The 24,532-nt window shown below is 38.0% G+C and overlaps 1 protein-coding gene and 1 pseudogene across 5 annotated transcripts in view, besides 1 other annotated feature; one reads left to right on the top strand and one right to left on the bottom strand.

Annotated features, from left to right (window-relative positions):
• The window catches only part of FCHSD2 (FCH and double SH3 domains 2), a 305,574-nt gene that overhangs the window by 185,913 nt on the left and 95,129 nt on the right, over positions 1-24,532 (top strand). The gene's annotated exons all lie outside the window — the stretch shown is intronic.
• On the bottom strand, positions 15,247-15,947 carry RPL15P16 (ribosomal protein L15 pseudogene 16; annotated as a pseudogene).
• Positions 17,688-17,982: a silencer, noted in NCBI's record as "tiled region #15519; HepG2 Repressive non-DNase unmatched - State 15:Elon, and K562 Repressive non-DNase unmatched - State 24:Quies". NCBI's record gives its function as "represses a minimal TATA promoter and a strong SV40 promoter by Sharpr-MPRA in HepG2 and K562 cells {active_cell/tissue: HepG2 | K562}" and the evidence as "EXISTENCE:reporter gene assay evidence [ECO:0000049][PMID:27701403]".

The raw sequence follows: 24,532 nt of genomic DNA, 5'->3' as shown, positions 1-24,532 counted from the left end.
AATATCCTGTTCCTTGTCAGACCTCCACTCACCAGCCTTAGCATACTTTGATGAAACCCTCCTGAATCAACCACCTTTATGATGGTTGCCAAATGGTGGTTTTCTATTTTCATCATTTCTTCTACTTTTCTTAGTTGGCATTCTAATGGAAGGAAGAAGTTTCTATTCTCTGCCATTTATGTGCTTGTTTATTTATTTATATCATTATGTCCATGGATTTCTGTTTTATTCAATGGATTGAAATTTGTTACTCTTACTATTTATTTTTACGCTCAAATTGCTCCATACTTGACTGATAGGAGTATGTCCCCATTGTTCTCTGAGCACTTCCTCTCTGGTGCAGGATGTTCCAGGCTTATCATGTACTTTCTTTGCCCCAATTCTGGAATCAACTATTTCCCCAAGAACCCCTGTTTCCTTTTAGTGGAGGATGATATTTAAAAACTAAGCACTTGGTGTGCTCATTGCTTCTGTGTGCTATTACTTTGAGTCCGTAGTGGGCAGAACTAGGAAATATATGTATGTATGCACTGTAATATTATAATTTGAAATACATGTTTGGTCTCTGCCCCCAAGTTCCTGGCACAGAGCTCCTAAAGCCCTTGTAGATAAGGGGCACTAAGAGAATCTTTTGTTCCTATATTTGGTCTCTGACCCCAGTTCCTGTCACAGGGCTCCTAAGACCTTTCTGATTTCCTGAATGATAGGAGTGTCTGACACAGAGCTCCTAAATCCCTTGGAGTTTCCTGGGTCATAGGAGAATCTTGTCTTAATGAAGTAACTCTTAGTGGGCTCCTGAATAGCGTCAGGATGGGGGCTGGTTGCCAAGGGATCCAAACATGATTAAAGGGTTGGAACTTTTAGCTCCACCCCACCCACCTACTTCAGAGAGGAGCTTAAAGGGTGACTTGATCACCATTAGCCAGTGGTGTAACCAATTATGCCCATGAAATGAAGCCTCTATGAAAAACCCAGGACAGGGTTCGGGGAGCCTCCTGGAGGGTAGCCCACCCAGAGAGGGCATGGAAGCCTCACATGCCTTCTTCCATACCTTGCCCTATGCATTTCTTCTATCTGGCTGTTCATCTGTTCCTTTGTAATAATGTTTTATAATAAATGAGTAAGTATAAATAAAATGTTTCCTTGGGTTCTGTGACCCACTATAGCAAACTAATCGACCCTAAGAAAGGTGTCATAGGAACGCCAATTTTTAGCTGGTTGGTCAGAAGTACAGGTCACAACCTGAGACTTCCAATTAGCATCTGAAGTGGGGAGCAGTCTTGTGGGTTAGCAGTCTGTGAGACCTGACGCTCTCCAGGAAGAGAGTGTCAGAATTGGACTGGAGGATGTCCAGCTGGTATCTGCCAGGGAATTGCTTGGCATGTGGGAAAGTCCCCACACATCTGAAGTCAGAAGTATTGTGTTGAGTGGTGAGTGAGGGTAGAAAAAGCACTTCAGTTTTTTCCTATCTTTATTACATATACATACAGCCAGATCTGTTTCTGTATATATCTGTGTGTGTGTGTGTATATGTATAGATATCAATTCACATTGAGATGTCTGATGGCAGGTTCAATACTTCAAGATTCTTTGTAGCCTTCCCCCTTTCTATGTTTGTATGTAAATATCTTCCTTACCATTGATAAATCTGGCTTTCATCATACTCAATATATTTTCTTAATCTCTTTGTACACTACTCATCTCCTGACCAGCCTGGTTACCTACTCAGCCTTTGATTTTTCCCTCCCAAACTTGCTACTCTTTTGATCTTCCCAATTTCAGTAATGACAACTATATTCTTGGAATTACTCAAGCTAAAAGTATTAGTGTCATCCTTCTTGCCCCACTCCAAACCCCTCATTCATCCCATTAATAATTCCTTTAAATAGAATGATTTTTTGGCTGGGCACAGTGGCTCACACCTGTAATCCCAACACTTTGGGAGGCTGAAGGGGAAGGATCGCTTGAGCCCAGGAGTTTGTGATCATCCTGGGCAATGTGAGACCCCATCTCTACAAAAAATAAAATAATTAGCCAGGCATGGTGGCATGCACCTGTGGTCCCAGCTACTCAGGAGGCTGAGTTGAGAGAATTGCATGAGCCCAGGTGTTTGAGGCTTGCAGTGAGCCGCCATGCTGTGCCACTGCACTCCAGCCTGGGTGACAGAGTGAGACCCTGTCTCAAAAAAAAAAAAAAAAAAAAAAAAAAATCCCCACATCTACTGCTAATATTCTAATAATCTAAGCCACCATTATTATCTTTGCATGTACTTTAGCAAGATTCTTCTAATTGGCTTTCTACTCCCACCCCTACCTTTATGTCTATTCTCTGCGTAATAGCCAAAGTGATCCTTTTATAACCTAAGTCAGATTATGTCATTTCTTTGGTCAGAACCTACTAGTGGCTTCTGTTCTCACTAAATTTAAAATTCAGAATTCTTATCAAAGTCCTAGGTCATCTACTATCCCTTCCCTCACTGTAATTTAATCATATTGGCCTTTTACTATTCCACACCAAGCACATTGTCACCTCTGGACTTTCACATGTGATGTTTCCTCAAGCAAGCTCTTAATGCCAGAGAGCCACAGAACTCGATACTCCCTCACTCCATTCAAGTCTTTGCTCAAATGTGACTCTAACAGTGAGGCCTTCCCTGACTACACAACATAAGGCGGCATCTTTTCTTCATTCTCTATTTCTTTTCTTTGTTTATGTTTATTGTATTTATTACAACCTGCCATAACATTTAAGAGCAAGAGTTTTTGTGTTTTTTTTTTCCCCCATGCAGTGTCTCCAGTACCTGGAATAATGTCTGACAAATAGTAGACTCTTGATAAATATTTTGTTGAGTGACTTTTTATGGATTCATGTTCAATAAATTCATGTGGTTGAAATTGATTTAGGTGATATATTAGCAGTATCTTTTATATAGCTGTAAATTAGATGATGTTTTACAAGGAGTACTAGTGTCAAATAAGCTCTCAACTGGCCTTAAGAGAGAGAATTTATTTTCCAAATGTAGATATTTCAGAAAGCAGAATTAGAGATTAAAGATTTTTTGAAAAAGAAATTGTGAAAAAGGAATTTTGAAAAAGGAATTGATGGGAAGTATACTCATCACCAGCAGTAGGTTTCTGGAGATCTAAGATCTGGAGTTTACCTCACTACCTTAGTTTCTAATGCTTGTCATGCTTTCTCAAGACCATTTCTCAAAGAATGTTCCTCTTCTCTAACTATACCTTTTCTTTCTGATCCAGCACTGTTAGGCATCTCATGTTTTCTGGTGTGTTTTACTTTTCTTAATATCTAATACTATGTTTATTTTATTTTCTATTGGAGCACAATAACTTCATAAATATCTCTTATTCTTTGCACTTTCAGTAACAAAATTTTTTCAAGTCAAAGTCTGCCAGCACCATAGAGGAGTAGTTGTGTTTGCTTCAGGATTGTCTGAGGCTTTAAAGCGGGTGAACTGCTGACCTTGAGGAAAAGCAGATAATTCTATCAAGAAAGCCTCCCTCCAGGAGTAGGCTTTTATTGCTTTATTATATATCTTAAACTGTAAGATCCTGTTTCTTCACCTGTGGAAATAAGGTGAACAATATCCTTTTCATGAATTGTAAATATGTGTAAGTGCCTGGCACATAGTAGGTGTTCTGTAAGTATTCATTTATCTTTCTTCCTTCCCTTATCTTCCACTAATCCATATAACTTAATGTCTCATCTCTACCAATAAGCTCTTATGTATCTTAACCAAATTTTCTTACCAAAATTAACTATAGGCCAGGCATGGTGGCTCATATCTGTAACCCCAGCACTTTGAGAGGCCGAGGCCGGTAGATCACTTGAGGTCAGGAGTTTGAGACCAGCCTGGCCAACATGGTGAAACCTTGTCTCTACTAAAAATATAAAAATTAGCTGGGCGTGGTGACACATGCCTGTAATCCCAGCTACTCAGGAGGCTGAGGCAGGAGAATCACTTGAACCCGGGAGGCGGAAGTTGCAGTGAGCCGAAATAGTGCCACTGCACTCCACACTAGGTCACAGAGTGAGACCCTGTCTCAAAAAAAAAAAAAGATAGTCAAACTTGGTGAACACAAGCAAACAAAAAAGTGTATGGAATTGTTTTTGCTCTAAAAATACTAGAGACTAATACTAGATTAGTGTTTTCCTTCATAGGCCATATATATCTTTCTGGTATTAAGATAGAGAAGAGAGAGTTGCTTCATCTGAGTGACCAAGCAAGACCAATATAAGTTAAAGTACACAGGGAGTTTCCAAGCATTAAACTCATGGGTGCTCTTCCTGTCTAATCTTGTCTTCATTTGGTAAGACATATGCAGACCTACCATGAAGCTTCAGGGAATTTTTGATTCTTGCCAAAAATAAAAATGCCCTGAAGTGTGCCTGTTGAAAATGCCAACAATATGTAGATTCTGAAAGTTATCTTGTAAGTGAAAGAAAGAGTATAGCTGTTACAGTATTCTTGTCAAATAGGATTTTCCCTAAGTTTTATGGGAGTAAGGACTTTCTCTGCTATACTGAACGCTAGCCTCATTTCCTCAGCAAGCATGATTGATCTCAGTTAGATATTAAGAATTTATAAAGAGATTGTGAAAGGGTAAACCTCAAATCAATGGGAAAATAACAGATTTTAAAAGTCATGACATTGAGACTCTTAGGAAGAAAAATTTTGTTTCTTCCATCAAACCAGGCCAAAGTAAGTTATAGGTTTGTTAAAGATAAATGTAATAGAGAAAAACATGGGAGAATATTTATCTGATCTTAGTGTAGGGGTGAGATTTTTAAGGATTCTAGCAAAGGCAAGCACTATATGGGAAAATGGTGATAAATTTTACAATCCCACAGTTCAGAAATGTGTAATAATAACACCAGAGCAAACATTTATTGAGCTAAATGCCAAGCCTTGTAGTAAGTGCTTTACGTATAAGTCAGTGCCAAGGTTGAGAAACTCTGCCCTAGAGCTGCGTAATCTGTCGCTCTCGTTTGCTGTGTTATCATATGCCAGATGTTTTGTCATAGTGTAACAAGGTTTACCAGCTTCCCAATCTGCAGCATCTGTTTCATCACTGCTTACAACTCTGCCACTTAACAGATGCCACCTATATTAGTTTTTTTGTTACAGCAATATCCTACACCAGATACTAATCCTGTATTAATTAGGATAAAGGCTAAACAATTAGAATAGGAAGACCCAAAATGCAGTGGTTCACAAAAGATAGGTGTTAATTATTTCTAATGCAATGGTTTGGAGTAGATAGGTAGCATTTGCCTCATGAAGTTATTCAGAGACTCAGATAGCAGGGTAGTCCATCACTTTCTCTCATGGCCTGGCTAAACCTGTGTCATTGATTTATTTGAGTTCTAGCCAGTGGATAGGGGAAAGAGAGCATGGAGAAGACACACCTATTCTCTTAAGATCTAGTCCTTAAAGGAGCAAATGTTACTTCTGTTCACACTGAATTAGAGAGAATTAGTCACGTGGTCAATCTCACAGCAGGTATGGAGGCTAGGAAGTGTAGTCCCACAGCATGTGCCCAGGAAGAAAGGGATAACATTTGGCGGACAACAACAAATAGTTTCCACCGCAACTACTACCTGTGCTGCCTCTAAATATCTGAGAAGCCAAATGATAATGTGGGAGTTAAGTATTCTTATAAATGAAAAATTAAAATATCCTAAAAGAAATAAGGAAAAACTACAAATTCAGTTTTAAAAAGGGAAATACAAAAGACTACTAATCATACATCAGTAGCTGATTGTCAACAAAGGTACTAAAACAATTCAGTGGAGGAAAGAATAGTCTTTCAACAAATTGTACTGGCACAACTGAATATCCACATGCAAGAAGAATGAAGTTGGACCTCTACCTCACAGCATATATAAAAATTAATTCAAAATGAATCAAAGACTTAAGAGCTAAAACTATATAAAACTCTTTGAGGGAAAAAAAAAATGCAAGTCTATGTTAACTTAGAATAGGCAACAGTTTCTCAGATATCACCAAAAACACAAGCAACCAAAGAAAGAATAGACAAATTGCAGAAATAAAAACTTTTGTGTATCAAAGGAATCTATGGAGAAAGTGAAGACAACCCACAGAATGGGAGAAAATATTTGCAAATTACATATCTGAAAAGGATTTAATATTTAGAATATATAAAGAAGCTTTACAATTCAATAAAAACAAATAACCCAGTTTTTTTAAAAGGGCAAGGATTTTAATAGACTTTTTTCTCAAAGATGAGTAATACCTTTATTCATTAGGAATATGCAAATCAAAATCACAATGAAATACCACTTCACATCCGCTAGGATGACTAAAATTTTTAAAAACAGAAAATAACAAGTGTTGGTGAGGAGATGGAGAAATTGGGTGAGAATGTAAAATGGAACAGCCATTGTGGAAAAACAGTGATGTGAACATTAGCATTTGGTGGTTTCTCAAACTATCCAACAGAATTGTCATATGACCCCAAAACTCCACTCTTAGATTTATACCCAAGAGAACTGAAAACAAGTGTTCAAGCAAAAAGTTGTGTACACAAATGTTTGTAGCAGCATTATTCATAACAATCCAAAGGTGGAAACAACCCAAATGTCCATCAACTAGTGAATGGATAAACAAGATGTGGTAAACCCATACAGTGGAATATTATCAACCATAAAATTGAATGTAGTAATGATTTATGCTACAACATGGGTAGACCTTGAAAACATTGTGTTAAGTGAAAGAAGCCAGACACAAAAGCGTATATATTGTATGATTCCATTTCATTTGTCCAGAATAGGCAAATCCAGAAATGTAGAAAGTAGATTAGTGGTTGCCAGGCACAGGGGGAGAGGGCACTGACTACTTAATGGCTATAAAGTTTTCTTTTCTTTTCTTTTCTTTTCTTTTTCTTTCCTTTCTTTTCTTTTCTTTCTTTCTTTGAGATGGAGTTTTGCTCTTTGGTGCCCAGGCTAGAGTGCAGTGGCATGATCTCGGCTCACTGTAACCTCTGCCTCCAGGGTTCAAGTGATTCTCCTGTCTCAGCCTCCTGAGTAGCTGTGATTACAGGCACCCACCACCACGCCCAGCTAATTTTTGTGTTTTTAGTAGAGACAGGGTTTCACCATGTTGGTCAGGCTGGCCTTGAACTCCTGACCTCAGGTGATCTGCCCGCCATGGGCCTCCCAAAGTGCTGGGATTACAGGCGTGAGCCACCACGCCCGGCCAGGTTTCTTTTTGTGGTGATAAAAATGTTCTGGAATTAGGTAATGGTGATGGTTGCACAACTTTGTGAATATACTAAAAGCCACTGCATTGTATACTTTAAAATGATTAACTTAATGGTGTGTGACTAATATCTCAATAAAAAATAAGACTAGTGACTGTGAAAATCTAGCATCCCACCAGTAATCAAAGAAATGAAAATTATGCTGGGTGCTGTGGCTCATGCCTGTAATCCCAGCACTTTGGGAGGCCGAGGTGGGCAGATCACGAGGTCAGGAGATCCAGACCATCCTAGCTAACGTGGTGAAACCCCATCTCTACTAAAAATATAAAAAATTAGCCAGGCGTAGTGGCGGGCACCTGTAGTCCCAGCTACTCGGGAGACTGAGGCAGGAGAATGTTGTGAACCTGGGAGATGGAGCTTGCAGTGAGCCGAGATTGTGCCACTGCACTCCAGCCTGGGCGACAGAGCGAGACTGCCTCTCAAAAAAAAAAAAGAAATGAAAATTATGACAATGTTAATCTTAATTGTATCCATTAAAATGGTAAGTTAAAATTTTGTTAATACACTCATATTCTATTATTGATAATGTAAATTGATACAGTTGTTTTGGAGGACTTAATTGGTAATATGTATCAAATGCTTTAAAATAAACTATATTCTTTGTCTCAGAAATTATGTTGTAAGAATTTATTCTAAGGATATAATAAATATCTATTATGATATTTGTCTACATGCTTGATGATGACAATGAGATTAAAAATGGAAAGCAACTAAAATGTTGAAAAATGAAACATTCAGTAATTTTGAAGTAATTGAAATGTTTCATAATAAGCAGCCAATAATTTATGATATCCAGTGGCTGGGCACAGTGGCTCACGCTTGTAATCCCAGCATTTTGGGAGGCTGAGGTGGGTGGATTGCTTGAGTCCAGGAGTTCAAGACCAGCCTGGCCAACATGGCAAAACCCCATCTCTACTAAAAATACAAAAATTTGCCAGGTCTGGTGGCACATGCCTGTAATCCCAGCTACTCAGGAGGCTGAGACAGAAGAATTACTTGAAACCCAGAGGTGGAGGTTGCAGTGAGCCGAGATCGCACCACTGCACTCCAGCCTGGGTGACAGAGTGAGACTTTGTCTCAAAAAAACAAAACAAAACAGACAAACAAAAAATGTATGATACCCAAACGATGTCATAAAAATTATGTTGTATAAGATTATACCATTATAGTGCCATGAAAAATGTTAACACTGTATTAACTGATTAAAATGAGAATCATAAATAATATGTAAAATATAGTCTTGAATTTGTTTTTAAAGTCTGTTTTATAAGTTAATGTTCCCATATTTATGTGAGATTACCTGTGATTTTTGTTTTCTTTGGATTTTTCTGTATTTAATTTTCTTTATGAGAAAATTATGTTTTCAATATTTTTTTTAACTAATGATTTTATCACACTGTAATTTATAATCAGAAATCTATGAACTAACTTTTGGGAGATTTAAAGTAAGGGCTGTTCCAACAGAATGTGCTGGAGGATGGGAGTTCCTACACGTCCATTAGGACCAGCAATATAGTGGTGTGGCTATTAATCTTTCATTATAATATACCCATTTCTTGCTAGACTCAGTGACTCTGGTTGATTAGTTCATTGCTTAGAATAAGATCTTGTGGTCAATTCCTATGTGAGTCAAGTAAACACTGACTTTGGCTTTAGTTCTAGTCAGACAACTTGTAAGTGTGTATCACAAGTCAGAGGGGACACTACATGGGAGAGCATAAGTGGATTTTTGTAGATCAACCATTGTTGTGGGAAAACCTCTTCAGTTCTGCTCCTCTTGGCCAGATGTGGGCCTGAGTGTGAGTCTGGATAAGAAGAGTTCAAACTTCTCTTGTGACACACAGCATTTCTTACCCAGGGGAAGTTTAAATAAATTTGAACATAAAACCTAGGTCTTCCACTTGGTTTAAAGCCCTTAACTAAGAAATAAGATATATTGGAAAATGCTTCGTACCTACAGCATTGTTGTTAAGAGATGTTGGCCCCATGGGGCATGCAGCTGTTAAACCAGAGTGACTCCCAGACCCAGTGATGTGAGTCTCATTTTCTTGGACCTGAATCTCACCTGGGGCCTGGGAAAGCAGGCTGGGACACAAGGAGAATAGCTCTTGGGTAGCTGGGTGAGCTATTGCATAGATGGCTGCAAAGACTAGTCCCACAAAGAGGGGCACCTGGTGCTGCCTTGTTGGCAGGCAGTCATTTTTGTCCTACATCCTTGTGAGTAGTCTTGTGAATATGAATGTTTACTTAAGCTTGAAAAATTTCCCTAGGCATTATACTTAACATCTTGGGACTCAGTTTCCTGCTCTGTAAAATGAAAATGTTGTCTACCTTAAAGGTGGTTGTAAAAAGTAGAGTTACTGCACAAAGCTCCTAGAATATAATAGATATTCTGTAAATGGTAGCTATTACTCTGTTTATACCATCGTATTTTAAAGGTAAAATATGCTAGATACTTCCACAATACCTATTTTACAGACTTGCATTAGAGGATATTGGCAGGTATTGACATTTTGAGCATTGTAATTATTGACCATGTAATTGTCTAGTTTTTTTTAAATTATACTTTAAGTTTTAGGGTACGTGTGCACAACGTGCAGGTTAGTTACATATGTATACATGTGCCATGTTGGTGTGCTGCACCCAGTAACTCATCATTTAACATTAGGTATATCTCCAAATGCTATCCCTCCCCCCTCCCCCACCCCACAACAGGCCCTGGTGTGTGATGTTCCCCTTCCTATGTCCATGTGTTCTCATTGTTCAATTCCCACCTATGAGTGAGAACATGTGGTGTTTGGTTTTTTGTCCTTGCGATAGTCTGCTGAGAATGATGGTTTCCAGCTTCATCCATGTCCTTACAAAGGACATGAACTCATCATTTTTTATGGCTGCATAGTATTCCATGGTGTATATGTGCCACATTTTCTTAATCCAGTCTATCATTGTTGGACATTTGGGTTGGTTCCAAGTCTTTCCTATTTTGAATAGTGCCACAATAAACATATGTATGCATGTGTCTTTATAGCAGCATGATTTATAATCCTTTGAGTATATACTCGGTAATGGAATGGCTGGGTCAAATGGTATTTCTAGTTCTAGATCCCTGAGGAATCGCCACACTGACTTCCACAATGGTTGAACTAGTTTACAGTCCCACCAACAGTGTAAAAGTGTTCCTATTTCTCCACATCCCCTCCAGCACCAGTTGTTTCCTGACTTTCTAATGATCGCCATTCTAACTGGTGTGAGATGGTATCTCATTGTGGTTTTGATTTGCATTTCTCTGATGTCCATTGATGATGAGCATTTTTTCATGTATCGTTTGGCTGCATAAATGTCTTCTTTTGAGAAGTGTCTGTTCATATCCTTTGCCCACTTTTTGATGGGGTTGTTTTTTTCTTGTAAATTTGTTTGAGTTCATTGTAGATTCTAGATATTAGCCCTTTGTCAGATGAGTAGATTGCAAAAATATTCTCCCATTCTGTAGGTTGCCTGTTCACTCTGATGGTAGTTCCTTTTGCTGTGCAGAAGCTCTTTAGTTTAATTAGATCCCATTTGTCAATTTTGGCTTTTGTTGCCATTGCTTTTGGTGTTTTAGACATGAAGTCCTTGCCCATGCCTATGTCCTGAATGGTATTGCCTAGCTTTTATTCTAGGGTTTTTATGGTTTTAGATCTAACATTTAAGTCTTTAACCCATCTTGAATTAATTTTTGTATAAGGTGTAAGGAAGGGATCCAGTTTCAGCTTTCTACATATGGCTAGCCAGTATTCCCAGCACCATTTATTAAATAGGGAATCGTTTCCCCATTTCTTGTTTTTGTCAGGTTTGTCAAAGATCAGATAGTTGTAGATATGCGGCATTATTTCTGAGGGCTCTGTTCTGTTCCATTGGTCTATATCTCTGTTTTGGTACCAGTACCATGCTGTTTGGTTACTGTAGCCTTGTAGTATAGTTTGAAGTCAGGTAGTGTGATGCCTCCAGCTTTGTTCTTTTGGCTTAGGATTGACTTGGCAATGCAGGCTCTTTTTTGGTCCCATATGAATTTTAAAGTAGTTTTTTCCAATTCTGTGAGAAAGTCATTGGTAGCTTGATGAGGATGGCATTGAATCTATAATTTACCTTGGGCAGTATGGCCATTTTCACGATATTGATTCTTCCTACCCGTGAGCATGGAATGTTCTTCCATTTGTTTGTATCCTTTTTTATTTCATTGAGCAGTGGTTTGTAGTTCTCCTTGAAGAGGTCCTTCACATCCCTTGTAAGTTGGATTCCTAGGTATTTTATTCTCTTTGAGGCAGTCGTGAATGGGAGTTCACTCATGATTTGGCTCTCTGTTTGTCTGTTATTGGTATATAAGAATGCTTGTGATTTTTGCACATCGATTTTGTATCCTGAGACTTTGCTGAAGTTGCCTATCAGCTTAAGGAGATTTTGAGCTGAGACAATGGGGTTTTCTAGATATACAATCATGTCATCTACAAACAGGGACAATTTGACTTCCTCTTTTCCTAATTAAATACTCTTTATTTCCTTCTCCTGCCTGATTGCCCTGGCCAGAACTTCCAACACTATGTTGAATAGGAGTGGTGAGAGAGGGCATCCCTGTCTTGTGCCAGTTTTCAAAGGGAATGCTTCCAGTTTTTGCCCATTCAGTATGATATTGGCTGTGAGTTTGTCATAGATAGTTCTTATTATTTTGAGATACGTCCCATCAATACCTAATTTATTGAGAGTTTTTAGAATGAAGCGTTGTTGAATTTTGTCAAAGGCCTTTTCTGCATCTATTGAGATAATCATATGGTTTTTGTCGTTGGTTCTGTTTATATGCTGGATTATGTTTATTGATTTGAGTATGTTGAACCAGCCTTGCATCCCAGGGATGAAGCCCACTTGATCATGGTGGATAAGCTTTTTGATGTGCTGCTCGATTCAGTTTGCCAGTATTTTATTGAGGATTTTTGCATCGATGTTCATCAGGGATATTGTTTTAAAATTCTCTTTTTTTGTTGTGTCTCTGCCAGGCTTTGGTATCAGGATGATGCTGGCCTCATAAAATGAGTTAGGGAGGATTCCCTCTTTTTCTATTCATTGGAATAGTTTTAGAAGTAATTGTGTTGTTTTACCTCCATGTCATGCAATAGAAGTTAAAGTTGGCAGCATCACAATGAATAATGATTAAAGTCTGAGTATTTAATAGTCAGTTTATCTTCATACGTTCTTAGTGTAGTAGTTTACAATATTTGAACATGCCTTAGAACAAATATTTAATTATAGATGTGCTAACTGAAACTTCTTGTAGTTAATGAACTAATAAAATATCAAAATACAATGTTTATGTATCTTATTCAGCAAGTATTTCTTGAATAAATACTAAGTGTGAGGTATCATTCTGAGTGCCTCAGTGAACAAAACAGCCAATATAATTTTATATTTTAAATATGTAAAACACTGAAACATATATGTTCAAAAGTCAAATAGACTGACCCAGGGAATTCTCACTTCCATTTCTGTGCCCTTCATCTCCGTCTCACCTGTCATTCTCTTCAATTTCCTTCCCTTTCATTAAAGCTATTAATAAATAACCAAGGTAATATGAAGTTCACATTTACTGTTTTCCCATAATCCATATTGTTCTGTGCTGTCTTTTTCCTGATTCAGTGTCTCACTAATCCTTTCCTACTCAAACCTCTCCATCAGACATCTTGGAATTCTATTCAGTAGTCCTCAGTTAATCCTAACTATAGTTGAATTAAGTAGGTTGAAGTTGAAGTAAGTGTTAAATGTAGATAGTAAATATAAAAGTCAGGGCTGGGCAAAGTAGGTCATGCCTGTAATCCCAGCACTTTGGGAGGTAGAGGTGGGCAGATCACATGAGGTCAGGAGTTCGAGACCAGCCTGGCTAACATGGGGAAACCCCATTTCTAATAAAAATACAAAAAATTAGCTGGGCATGGTGGCACGCGCCTGTAATCCTAGCTACTCAGGAGGCCAAGGAAGGAGAATCACTTGAACCCGGGAGGCGGAGGTTGTAGTGAGCCAAGATCGCACCATTGCACTCCAGCGTGAGCAACAAGAGCAAAACTCTGTCTCAAAAGAAAAAGTCAGTATTAATGAATTTGTGATTTAGCCAGGCATGGTGGCTCACACCTATAATCCCAGCACTTTGGGAAGTATGCACCTGTAGTCCTAACTACTTGGAAGCCTGAGGTGGGAGGATTCTGAAGTCCAAGAGTTTGAAGCTGCGAACTATGATCATACCACTGCACTCCAGCCTGGGTGATAGAGCGAGACCCTGTGTCTAAAAACAAAACAGTGAGATATGACTTCACATCCTCTAGGAGAGCCATAATAAAAATAAAATAAAATGAATAGCATAGCATATACCATAACATTCTATAGCATGTTTGTCAATACTTTTTAATTTTAATAAAGTATGTATTTTCCATTTGATTACCAAAGTACCAGAAGAAAATTTGAAAAGTACAGAAAACCTAAAGATAAATTAAAATAACTTCACATTGTAACAGTAAACCACTCTTACTGTCATCTTGGCATATCCTTCTAATCTTTCCTAGGCATGTATTACATATACATGTTTCAAAATTGTTATACACGTAAGTCCTTTTATTTTTTCACATAAAATACATTCTGAGCTATTCCTGCCTGTGTTAGCCCATTTACATTGGTTTAAAGAAATACACAAGGCTGGGTAATATAAAGAAAAGAGGTTTATTTTGGCTCACAGTCCTGCAGACTGTACAGGGAGCATGCTGCTGGCATCTGCTTCTGGTGAGGCCTCAGGAAACTTACAATCATGGCAGAAGGCAAAGTGGAAGCCTGCATGTCATATGGTGAGAGATGGAGCAAGAGAGGAGGGAGCTGCCAGGCTCTTTTAAACAGCCAGCTCTAGTGTGAACTTATAGAGTGAGAACGCTCTCATTACTGTGAGGACAGCAGCAAGTCATTCATGAGGGATCTGCTGCCATGACACAGACACCCCCTGCTAGGCCCACCTCCAACATTGGAGATCACATTTCGACATGAGATTTTGAGGGGACAAAACATTCAAACTGTATCACTGCCTTTACATGTTACTTGAAAATGTGATTTTAATGACTGCATAGTATTTGATCATATTAATATGCCATTAACTTTATTACTTTTTTATGCTTTTATAAACTTTTTTAATGCTTTTTAGTGAAGGTTCTTTTTTACAATCTTAATACACCTCTTTGATAACTTCCTTAAGATATCTTTTTTTGAAGCTACATTCCCTGGTCAAAAACAAAGATTGGTTAATACTTTTCATTTGGCTAGCTGATTGCCCTCTGAAAAGATTATATCAGTATATACTTCTGAAAGCAGTGTATGAAAGTGCCTATCCTTGCACCCTTGTCAAAACTGTATTTTATATTTAAACAAACGTACATATATGAGCAACAATCTGGATGAAGGTAAAGAAATCTTAATTTTTAATTTTTTGCTTACTAACAAATTGAACATTTTTATTTCATGTTGTTTAAACAACTCTTCTGACCAGTGATGAGTTAAAAGAAAAAATAGATCAATACAAGAACAAAACAGTTAATGATAAAGTAATAATAAGTAATATATTAATAGAGTTGGGAGTCTATATTTTATACTAAGCAAACTGACATCCAACATAATTTATAATTTGTATTTTTATAAATATAAAAATTATATAAATTATAATTTAAGTATAGTTTTTATATCCTCTTAGATACTATTTTGAACGTGTGGGATTCAGTGACTTAGCAAAGGTTTTTATTTGAGGCCATTCATTAATTCATAATTTAACAAATATTTACTGTCATTCTATGTGTCATTTACTGGGGACACATAGTGAACAAGACTCATGTGGCCTCTGGTCCCTTGAAGGAGAATAAAAATATTAAAATAGCTTATTTATTTATTTTTTTGACTGTCCTAAATTATGAGGTATGAATTTTACAAACTTTACTTATATTAGTGGTAACAGTGGAACTGGAGAGTTTTGCGCCTTCTCTAAGCTGCCCGGCAAGAACCACCAATAGCATGGTGGAACATACGGTCCTTTCCAAGCCCATGGCTCTTTCGGCCTGTAGATGTCAGCCCACACATCTCCCTGTGCTTATAGACTGCTTTGGTGATCCATTGGGTGTCAGGATTTCTTCTGATAGCTTTATGGAATGGATCAATGAGGATAACCTCAAAAAATTTGTATGTGTAATCTTCACCAACCCAATAAGAATTCAGGACTCTAAGAGCCCCACAGTGGCATCCAGCTCACTCCTCTGCAACGCACTGAAGGCTTCAGGCAAACTTTAGCTGATTAACACCATGATGAACAGGCTTGCCATTAGTTGCACCCTTAGGAACTGGGCGTTTTCTGCCACCACGGTGAACATGAATCCTATATATAATGTAACCTTGCTTGGCCTTGCAGCCTGGTCGGCGCGCTTTATCAGGCTGGGTGGGGCGGGGAGCCCTGTGGAGAGCAGAGAGCTGGCAGTACTGCCAGCAGCTGACTCTCAGAAGAAAGCGCATGACATGAGACTACTTCTTTCTCCATAGCTCCTGGATGTGCGGGTATGCACCCATCTTGGCTTACCTGATGGCTACTGCCAGACAGAAAGGAAAATAGCTTATTTACTATTTATTGCCACATATTATACTAACCTCATTACATATATTATTTCCTTTAATATTAAAACAATATTTGGTAACTGCATTTTAGAAACTAGCATGTTTCTAATTAAACCTGTTTACATCAACTAAAATACTAACATGCTTTGTAAAAGGCCCTTCAGTATTGAAAGTGTAGTGCATTGTGGTAAGCATAATATAAACACACAAAGCCCCATTTAGATATTGTGAGGCTTTCAGTATTTAGAATCTCAGTAGTGATGAGTTTAAAAGGCTAAGGATGATGGCAAAGCTGATTCCAACTTGGGGCTAAATTTTATTTGTCCTGCTTCTATGGAATTAGACCTGAGAGTCACCTATGGTAGGTCACAAATGCCTTTTCAATTTTGATTTGCTTGCATTTTCTATACAGGCTGTAACACTGCCGCATAAAACACTAGGGGCTCTTGCCAGAGGGGACTGTACAAGCAGTCCACAGATGTTCTCGAAGAAACTCCCTGGAACTTTACTACTCGGTTATACAAAGAGCCGTCAAGGCCAGGCATGGTGGCTCATGCCTGTAATCCCAACACTTGGGAGGCCAAGGTGGGCAGATCACTTGAGGTCAGGAGTTCAAGACCAGCCTGACAAACATGGTGAAACCCCATCTCTACTAAAAATACAAAAATTAGCTGAGTGTCTTGGTGGGCATCTGTAATCCCAGCTGCTCGGGAGGCTGAGGCATAAGAATCACTTGAACCCGGGAGGCGGGGGTTGCAGTGAGCCTAGATTGTACCACTGCACTCCAGCCTGGGCGACAGGGCGAGACACTGTCTCAAAAAAAAAAAAAAAAAAAAAAAAAAAGGAAAAGAAAGAGCCATCAACCGTCTTCATAGATTTCCTATAAGCCAGAGAATTTTCTCAGTGATCAAATTCTAACCAAGAAACTGAAATGTATTCATCAAACAGGCAGCTTTTAACATCTGAATAAATCTCTATAACTCTCTAGAGAAAATTAAGTTATAATTGTAGTACCATTAAACTGTGGAACATGGAAGTTGAAACTTAATTTTTGTTTAATAATTTAAAAACCATTCCTTAGAAAGGTTTTTGAGGCCCAATCTGTTGCAGCCACAATCTTACCGACTGGGGGAAAAATGCTTAGTTACAATTTTTAGGGGGGAATTACTGTCATGCTGCTGAGAAATGGATCCTGTCTTTTTTGACCTTCCTTCCTTCCTGAACGTCCTCTGCTAATGTTATTTCTGTGATTCAAATACTGCCAAGCACAGCACAAGTTTTTGCTGGAATTGACTTTAGAATGGACATGTGAGTGTTTATAATAAGGAAACAGATTCTTTTTTTCATAGGCTCTGTACTTAAAATATTTATTATCCTGAATAACCATATACCCCCAAAAAAGTACAGTTTGGCTACTGTATTAAAATTTGAAAATATCCTGCATTACATGTTTAGTAGCTCAGAGGCCACTTTTATTAAATGTAAAGACCAAAACTTCTGTGACCCTATCCTTACTATATTTTTTTAGAAAATATTTATAATCTTAAATCAGCTTTAGAGTGCAACTCAAAAACCATTTTAAAACCTAATGAATTAAATTATTAAGAAAACAAAAACCAAAATGATAAATTAGTCTTGGGTTAGCTTGATAAGATTTTTTTCAATAGTTTAGAACTGAACTATTCTGTTAATGAAAATTGTGACTAATGTAATTCTGAAGGACTTTCAAGACAGGTTCCTCTCTACTGTTTGTGTAGAATACGAGTAAAAGAATGATGAAAATTGACCCTCTCCAGACAAACCTATAGAGACTTCCACTACCTGCTAGAAGATGCCTAAGCTTCTCCATCTGGTGAGATGCTGTGATCTGCTCACCCCTCATTCAGTCAGGAAAAGGACACCTTGCAAATCCCTGACTTGTTTTGCTGGCTGTGGGCACACCTAGACACCAGCAAGGAAGAGAATAGAAGGCAAATTCTCCCCAAACCGGCTACTGCTTTGAACACCCTTAACTATCCTAGACCCTTCTGGTCTCAATCTTTGAAACTTTATAAGTTCTTCCAGCTATGCCAGGTTTCTTGAACTTCTGCTAATAGCCTTGTCTAATAGTCTCGACTGGCTGACATTAAATTCAAGTATAAATCTTGGAATTCAAACTCAAGAATCACTTGAACCCAGGAGACAGAGGTTGCAGTGAGCCGAGATCGTGCCATTGCACTCCAGTCTGGGCAACAAGAGCAAAACTCCGTCTCAAAAAAAAAAAAAAAAAAAAAAAACTCCTTCATAATCTGGATAATACTGCCCCAGTCTTACCTTCAGCACTCTTCATTTATTTACCTCAGGTAACTAAATTCTGCCATTGAGGGTGCTGGGGATGTATTTCCCTACCTGGAATGCTTTCCTCCTATCTCAATTCATGTCATACTTCTTAGACATACTCCTTAGAGACTCCAGCCAGCATTATTCTGTTGTTTCCCTTACCATTCAGACATAACACTTATCTTAAATTATATTAACAGCTACATCAGTCTTTGTTTCACATATTTGATCTTATGTTCTGTATTTCCCATGGTGCCTAGCATAATAACTGGGTGCACTCAGACATGATTTCCTATAGAAAATCATTTTTAAACCTCATGTTTGTCTAGGTGCCTCTCTTCTAGCACCCTGTATAATTGAAATTATCCTGTTTGTTTGTTTCCAATGCTTGCCCAGGTTCTCATGGTTATGTATTCAAAAGCACATATACAAACACAGAGTTAATGCTAAGCATAGTTCTTGGCACAGAGTAGGTTCTAAAAAAATATTTTGGCCAGGCGCGGTGGCTCACGCCTATATTCCCAGCACTTTGGGAGGCCGAGGCAGGCAGATCATGAGGTCAGGAGATGGAAACATCTAGAGATCAGACCTTGCCTTTCCATTAATGGTCCCATATGTCCATGACATGTTTATTAACTCTTTCCTAAAATGTCAATGTAAGGAATACTCAAATTGGCCAGCATCAGAGATATTGTTTACTGAATTAACACTAAGGCTTTATATTTCTTGCTAAATGCTTTCTGTCAGTTCAATACTTTGATGTCAAAAATGCACACAAAAGAGACTATTTAAATAACATGGCCAAAAGATGAATATAGCAAAATTCTCAGACTAAACTGAAATGCCAAGAATTTTTTTGTTTGCAGCAGTCCTATTTACTGTCTAATCTATACGTTTTTCTGATTTAGATACCTAAATATCTAAACTTCTGTTTTAGTTTCCCCAAAAGCCTTAAGAGTTCCTTCATCAAGCCTTTGGTCCTCTAGCTCTGTCTTCCTCCAGCTATATAATTGTGTTCATATTCTGTTCCTCATCAGGACCACAGCTAAGGAAGAACTCCTCTTTGCTATTGGATGGTAGGGTTGATGAGCAGAAATCTGCTATTTAAATGTTTAATTTTTAACAAGATTATGAAGCATATAAAGAAACAGGAATATATAGCCCATACACAGGGATAAAAGGAGGCAAGAGAAACTGTCTCCAAGGAAGTCCATACATTGGACTTACTAGACAAAGATTTTAAATCGCCTATTTTTAATATATTTCAAAGAGCTAAAGGAAACCATGTCTGAAGAACTGAAGGGAAGTATGAGAATGATATCTCAGCAAATAAAGAATATCATCTTTGATACAAATTATAAAAAGGAATCAAATATAAATTCTGGAGTTAAAAATACAATAACTGAAGTAAAGATATACTATAAGTGTTCAGCAGCAAAGTTAAGTTGGCAGAAGGGAGAATCTGAATTTAAAGGTCAGTCAATTGAGATTCTTTTTTAAAAATTTTTATTTCTTTTCTAAATTAGAGATGGAGTCTTGCTATGTTGACCAGGCTGGTCTCCAACTCCTGGCCTCAAGCAAGCCTCCCATCTTGGCCTTCCAAAGTGCTGGGAGTACAGGCATGAGCCATGGCACCTGGTCGAGATTCTTGAGTTTGATAAAATCACACTGATAATTCCCAGGCAACCATGCCAAAATATATAGTAAAAAAAACAAGGGAATTAAAATGGTACATAGAAAATATTGATTTAACAGACCTCTTAAGGAGATACTATTTTTAAATTATTTTATAGATAAGGTAACAGACTTAGAGCAGTTCTACTGCTCAAGTACATAATAGAGTCAGACTCAGAAGCCCAGTCTGTCACCAAAATTCCTTACTATAGGCTTACAAGGGAGATAGATGAAATTCTCTGGTAGAACATAGAAATGGTTAAGCCCTATTATTTTAATAACCACCATTTACACATACCATACTCTTATGATTCTGTCAGATAAGGAATGGAAAGCTCAAGAACGGTCAGTGTCTTCCCAGAGTGATGGTTGCTAGTAAGTGGTAGAACTGGGATTTGAATGAAAGTATATAGGGTTCAAGGTTTTCTGTTGCCCATGATGTTTTGAGATGGCAACCTAAATATTATGTGGTTTTAGCCCACTCACAACTGGGTGAGCATAAGTAGTACAGCAGACCTTTTTCAGACATCTGACTTATCTTGCATGCTAGTAGTAATGCAAGAGGATAACACAAGCTTTATAGAAAAACAGCATTGAAATTTTCCTTTCCTGGTTTTGTAATTTACAGACATAAACTTCCTTATTTGTTTCCTCTTTCACAGAACATGAAGTAACCTGAAGTAACTCAGTGCTTTTAAATAAAACAACCACATAAAAAATTAGATGATATGTTTCTGATTTTACTTTATATCAACTGATAAATTCAACTACATATTAAGATATTTACAGTAATGTAAATACAGCCCAGTACTTGTTTTGATTTCTTGTAAAAAGCTACTTTCTCTTTGTAACCTGATTAGGCGTAGCTTGGGGTCTTCTGAAAAAGATAAACAAAAGCAAGGAGGCAGTCTGTTTTCTTCCAGTATCAGCAAAGAAAGACTGTAGAATTTCATGATTTAATTTTAAGACAACTCACATTTATCATCATCTTGATATTTATATCCTTGACTTTTACCAAAGTCTATTTTAGAAATGCCCGTTGCTCTCAGAAAAGAAGAGTTTGTTTTTCTAGGCTGCATTAAGGAAACTCAAGAGATTTCAGCAAAACTTTATTGCTGAAGAATCTGTGCCCCTCCTGGATCTAAATAAGGAGGGGACTGTTTAAAGTTCTTACTTTAGGGGAAATTACATCAAATGCTTAGGAAAATGACCCATTTTCCCTCCTAATTCATCATAATCTTCTTCTTCAAACAAGTTCTAGGACATTTACACTTTCCTGTAAGTAAATGTTCAGTGGAGCATTCCAGATTTCTAAGTTTCTGAATTTGTCCTTAGAATATTCCTTTTTTTTTCTTCACTATTTTGAGTATTTAACATTATGAGTTTGGGAGTTTAGGTTCCAAACTCAACTGATTTTAAGGATCAAGTAGATAAAATGAATAAAGAGGGCAGAGGTAATGTGTAAGGGAGTGTGTGGCCTAATAGCTACCTGGAAAGGACGTGGCTGCTTAAAGGCATTCAAATTCAATTGTTTAAAAATATTGTGGAGTCATTAAAACATATTGCTGGTCAAAGGTCCCATGGTTTCTCAGTTTCTCAATTACTACAGAATTATTCCCTTAGAAATTTGTGTCCAATAGTCAAAAAGTTTGGCTATTTTTTTAAGTATATTTGGATAAATTACCTACCAAGTTTTTGCATATTGGAGACCACCAAGGAGTTCATACTGCCAGATTAACTCACATTTATATAAACCTTGAAAGAATGCTTATCCTGCCATTTCTGAGCATTTATAAGTGAATTCTATCATTGATTAAGAAATTTATGGCCAAGCACAGCAGCTCATGCCTGTGATCCCAGCACTTTGGGAGGCCGAGGCAAGTGGATTACCTGAGGTCAGGAGTTTGAGATCAGCCTGGCCAACATAGTGAAACCTTGTCTCTACTTTAATAAATACAAAAATTACCCGGGTATGGTGGTATGCACCTGTAATCCCAGCTACTCGGGAGGCTGAGCCAGAAGAATCTCTTGAACCCAGGAGGTGGAGGTTGCAGTGAGCCGAGATAGTGCCGCTGCACACCAGCCTGGGCAACAGAGTAAGACTCCGTCTCAAAAAAAAAAAAAAAAAGGCATGGCTCTTCATAGAGGTCTCTTTGAATTGAAGTTTGTGCATGTCTGTTCACTTAAACAAGTGTAAAGAACATTCTTGTGTTTTGCTCATTTAAATGTAAAATGCTAGACAAGATACAGATGCATCTTCATCATACGTGCCCTTCTCAAACTGTTATGATACTTTTATGATTTGTTGTAAGCTTTAAATAGCTCTTTTTTTTTTTTTTTTTTTTTTTTCTGAGACAGTGTCTTACTCTGTTGCCCAGGCTGGAGTGTAGTGGCGCGATCATGGCTCACTGCAGCCTCAACCTCCCAGGCTCAGGCAGCCCTCCTACCTCAGCCTCCTGAATAGCTGGGACTACAGCCACATACCACCACACCTGGCTAATTTTTGTATTCTTTGTAGAGATGGAGTCTTGCTGTGTTGCCCAAGTTAGTCTTGAACTCCTGGGCTCAAGTGATACGCCCACCTAAGCCTCCAAAAGTGTTGAAATTGCAGGCATGAGCCACTGTACCCAGCACTAAATAGTTTTTACTTTACTTTAAATTTGTAAGAAATATATGCAGCTTTTGGATTGTATTTGCAATTCAGCTTTGACATAAAAATTGTCTACTTTAAGCTTTGAGATCTGTTTAATTGAAGAGAACCAGGAATAGTAAGGAAAGCAATTGAATTATTATTACTTGCAATTTATTGTCCATGTGAATCAACTTTTTTTCCTTACAATGCAACCAAAAGACACAATTTGGATATGGCTAATATAAGTTGGGTATCATTTATTACTCTTTAGTAAGAAGTCTTTTGATTGCAAATAACAATGACCCAACTCAAAGTAGCTTAGGCAAAACAGAGGAATTTGTTGGCTAAGGTAACCAAATCACAGAAAGGATGAGATGGTGCTTGCTCAAGAACTACCCAATTCAAGGACACTGTCCCTGTCCTCTGCCCACCATTCCCATCTTCACTTTGCCAAATTTCTCATCACTGCTTTTCTCTGTGAGTTGGTTTAATTCTTTCCTACTACAGATAGGCACTATCTGCTTGGTAGGAAGAATAACTTTGGTGGGAAGGATAGGCCATTTTTGGATTAATCTTTCAGCCTCTATCCCAGGGATGACCTAATTTAAGTCAAGGGACCACCTCCACCCAGTAATTAGGGGCAGAGGACAGTGGTTTGAGGTTCTGTCTTGCATATCTGCCTACCCTGCAAGTTTACCCCTGAGATCAGGACAGCAGGATCTGTTGCTAGAAGGAAGAAGAAGGCATGCAAGGTTATATATATTTTATGTCTTGGAATTCCACATAAAAGGATGCCACTACTGAAAATATTTGAAAATTACTGAATTAGAGTTTTATGAAATCAATTACTCCTTTAACTTGTATACGATTTTATAAATGTTATGTAACATCATTAGATTTCTCAGTCATGGGGCTCAAGTATAGGTTTATTCATTTTTTGTAATCATGCGAATTCTGATTGGTGTTATTATTTGTTGAACAGATATTTATTGAGCACTACCAGTATGCCAAACCCTATGCTCAACACAGAAGATGGAATGGTAAACAGACAGACCTGATGCCTCCCTTTATGGAACTTAAACAAAAAGAGGGACATACAAACAAATATCACCAGTATGAGGTTGTATGCTATGATCAGGAGTTATGAAGCAAAAAGACAATAGAGATATCCAAGTAGATGATTAAGTGAAGAGACTAAGGCTGATAAGAGTGAGCCAAACCATGGGAGAGAAAGCAGAGAGTAGTCAAGGCAGAAGAAAAGCCTGTGTGAAAGCTCAGAGGCAAAAAAGGAGTATTGGAGAAGCCAAAAACTGCATTGTAGAGAAGGTGTAATACGGAAGGAGAATGGGGAGTGAGTAATAAGTGAAGAAGCTGAAGAGGTATGCCAAGTTCAGATAATGTGGTCTGTAATGATTTTTTTAAAAGCCTTTTCCTAAATGTGATGAGTAGCCAGTGAACAGTGTAGAGCAGTCAAGTAAAATACACAATTTAGAAACATCCTCCTAGCTGCAGAGTGGAAATGAGTTGGTGAGAGGGAGAGTTGGATGCAGGGCAACAGAAGATTGCTGCAATAATCTGGATGAGACAGGATGGCCAGAGGGGAGTAGCTGTGGAGATCAGGAGGAGGGGTTGGGTTTGGTAAATATTTAAGAAGTGGAATCAATAAGATTTGGTAATTAACAGTATGTGGGGGACAAGGCAGAGGGAAAAGTAAATCTTCACTTCCAGGTTTCTGCCACAGGTTGGCAAGTGAATAGTGGCATCACACACTGAGGAACTCAAAAGAAAAGCAGATGGAAAAGAGAATGATTCAGTCTAAGAGGCAATTTGATGCACAGGTTAGAAAGTCAGAGGAGGGAAGTAGTGTCTGGTCAAAATATAAGTCAGTCTGATAAAAATTTAAAACAACAACAATGAAACAATGGCATTGACCCAGAATGCTATTGCAAGATCT

The sequence above is a fragment of the Homo sapiens genome, chromosome 11 (genome assembly GCF_000001405.40).
Source record: "Homo sapiens chromosome 11, GRCh38.p14 Primary Assembly".
NCBI lineage: Eukaryota > Metazoa > Chordata > Mammalia > Primates > Hominidae > Homo > Homo sapiens.
This window is presented reverse-complemented; position numbering and strand designations above follow the sequence as displayed.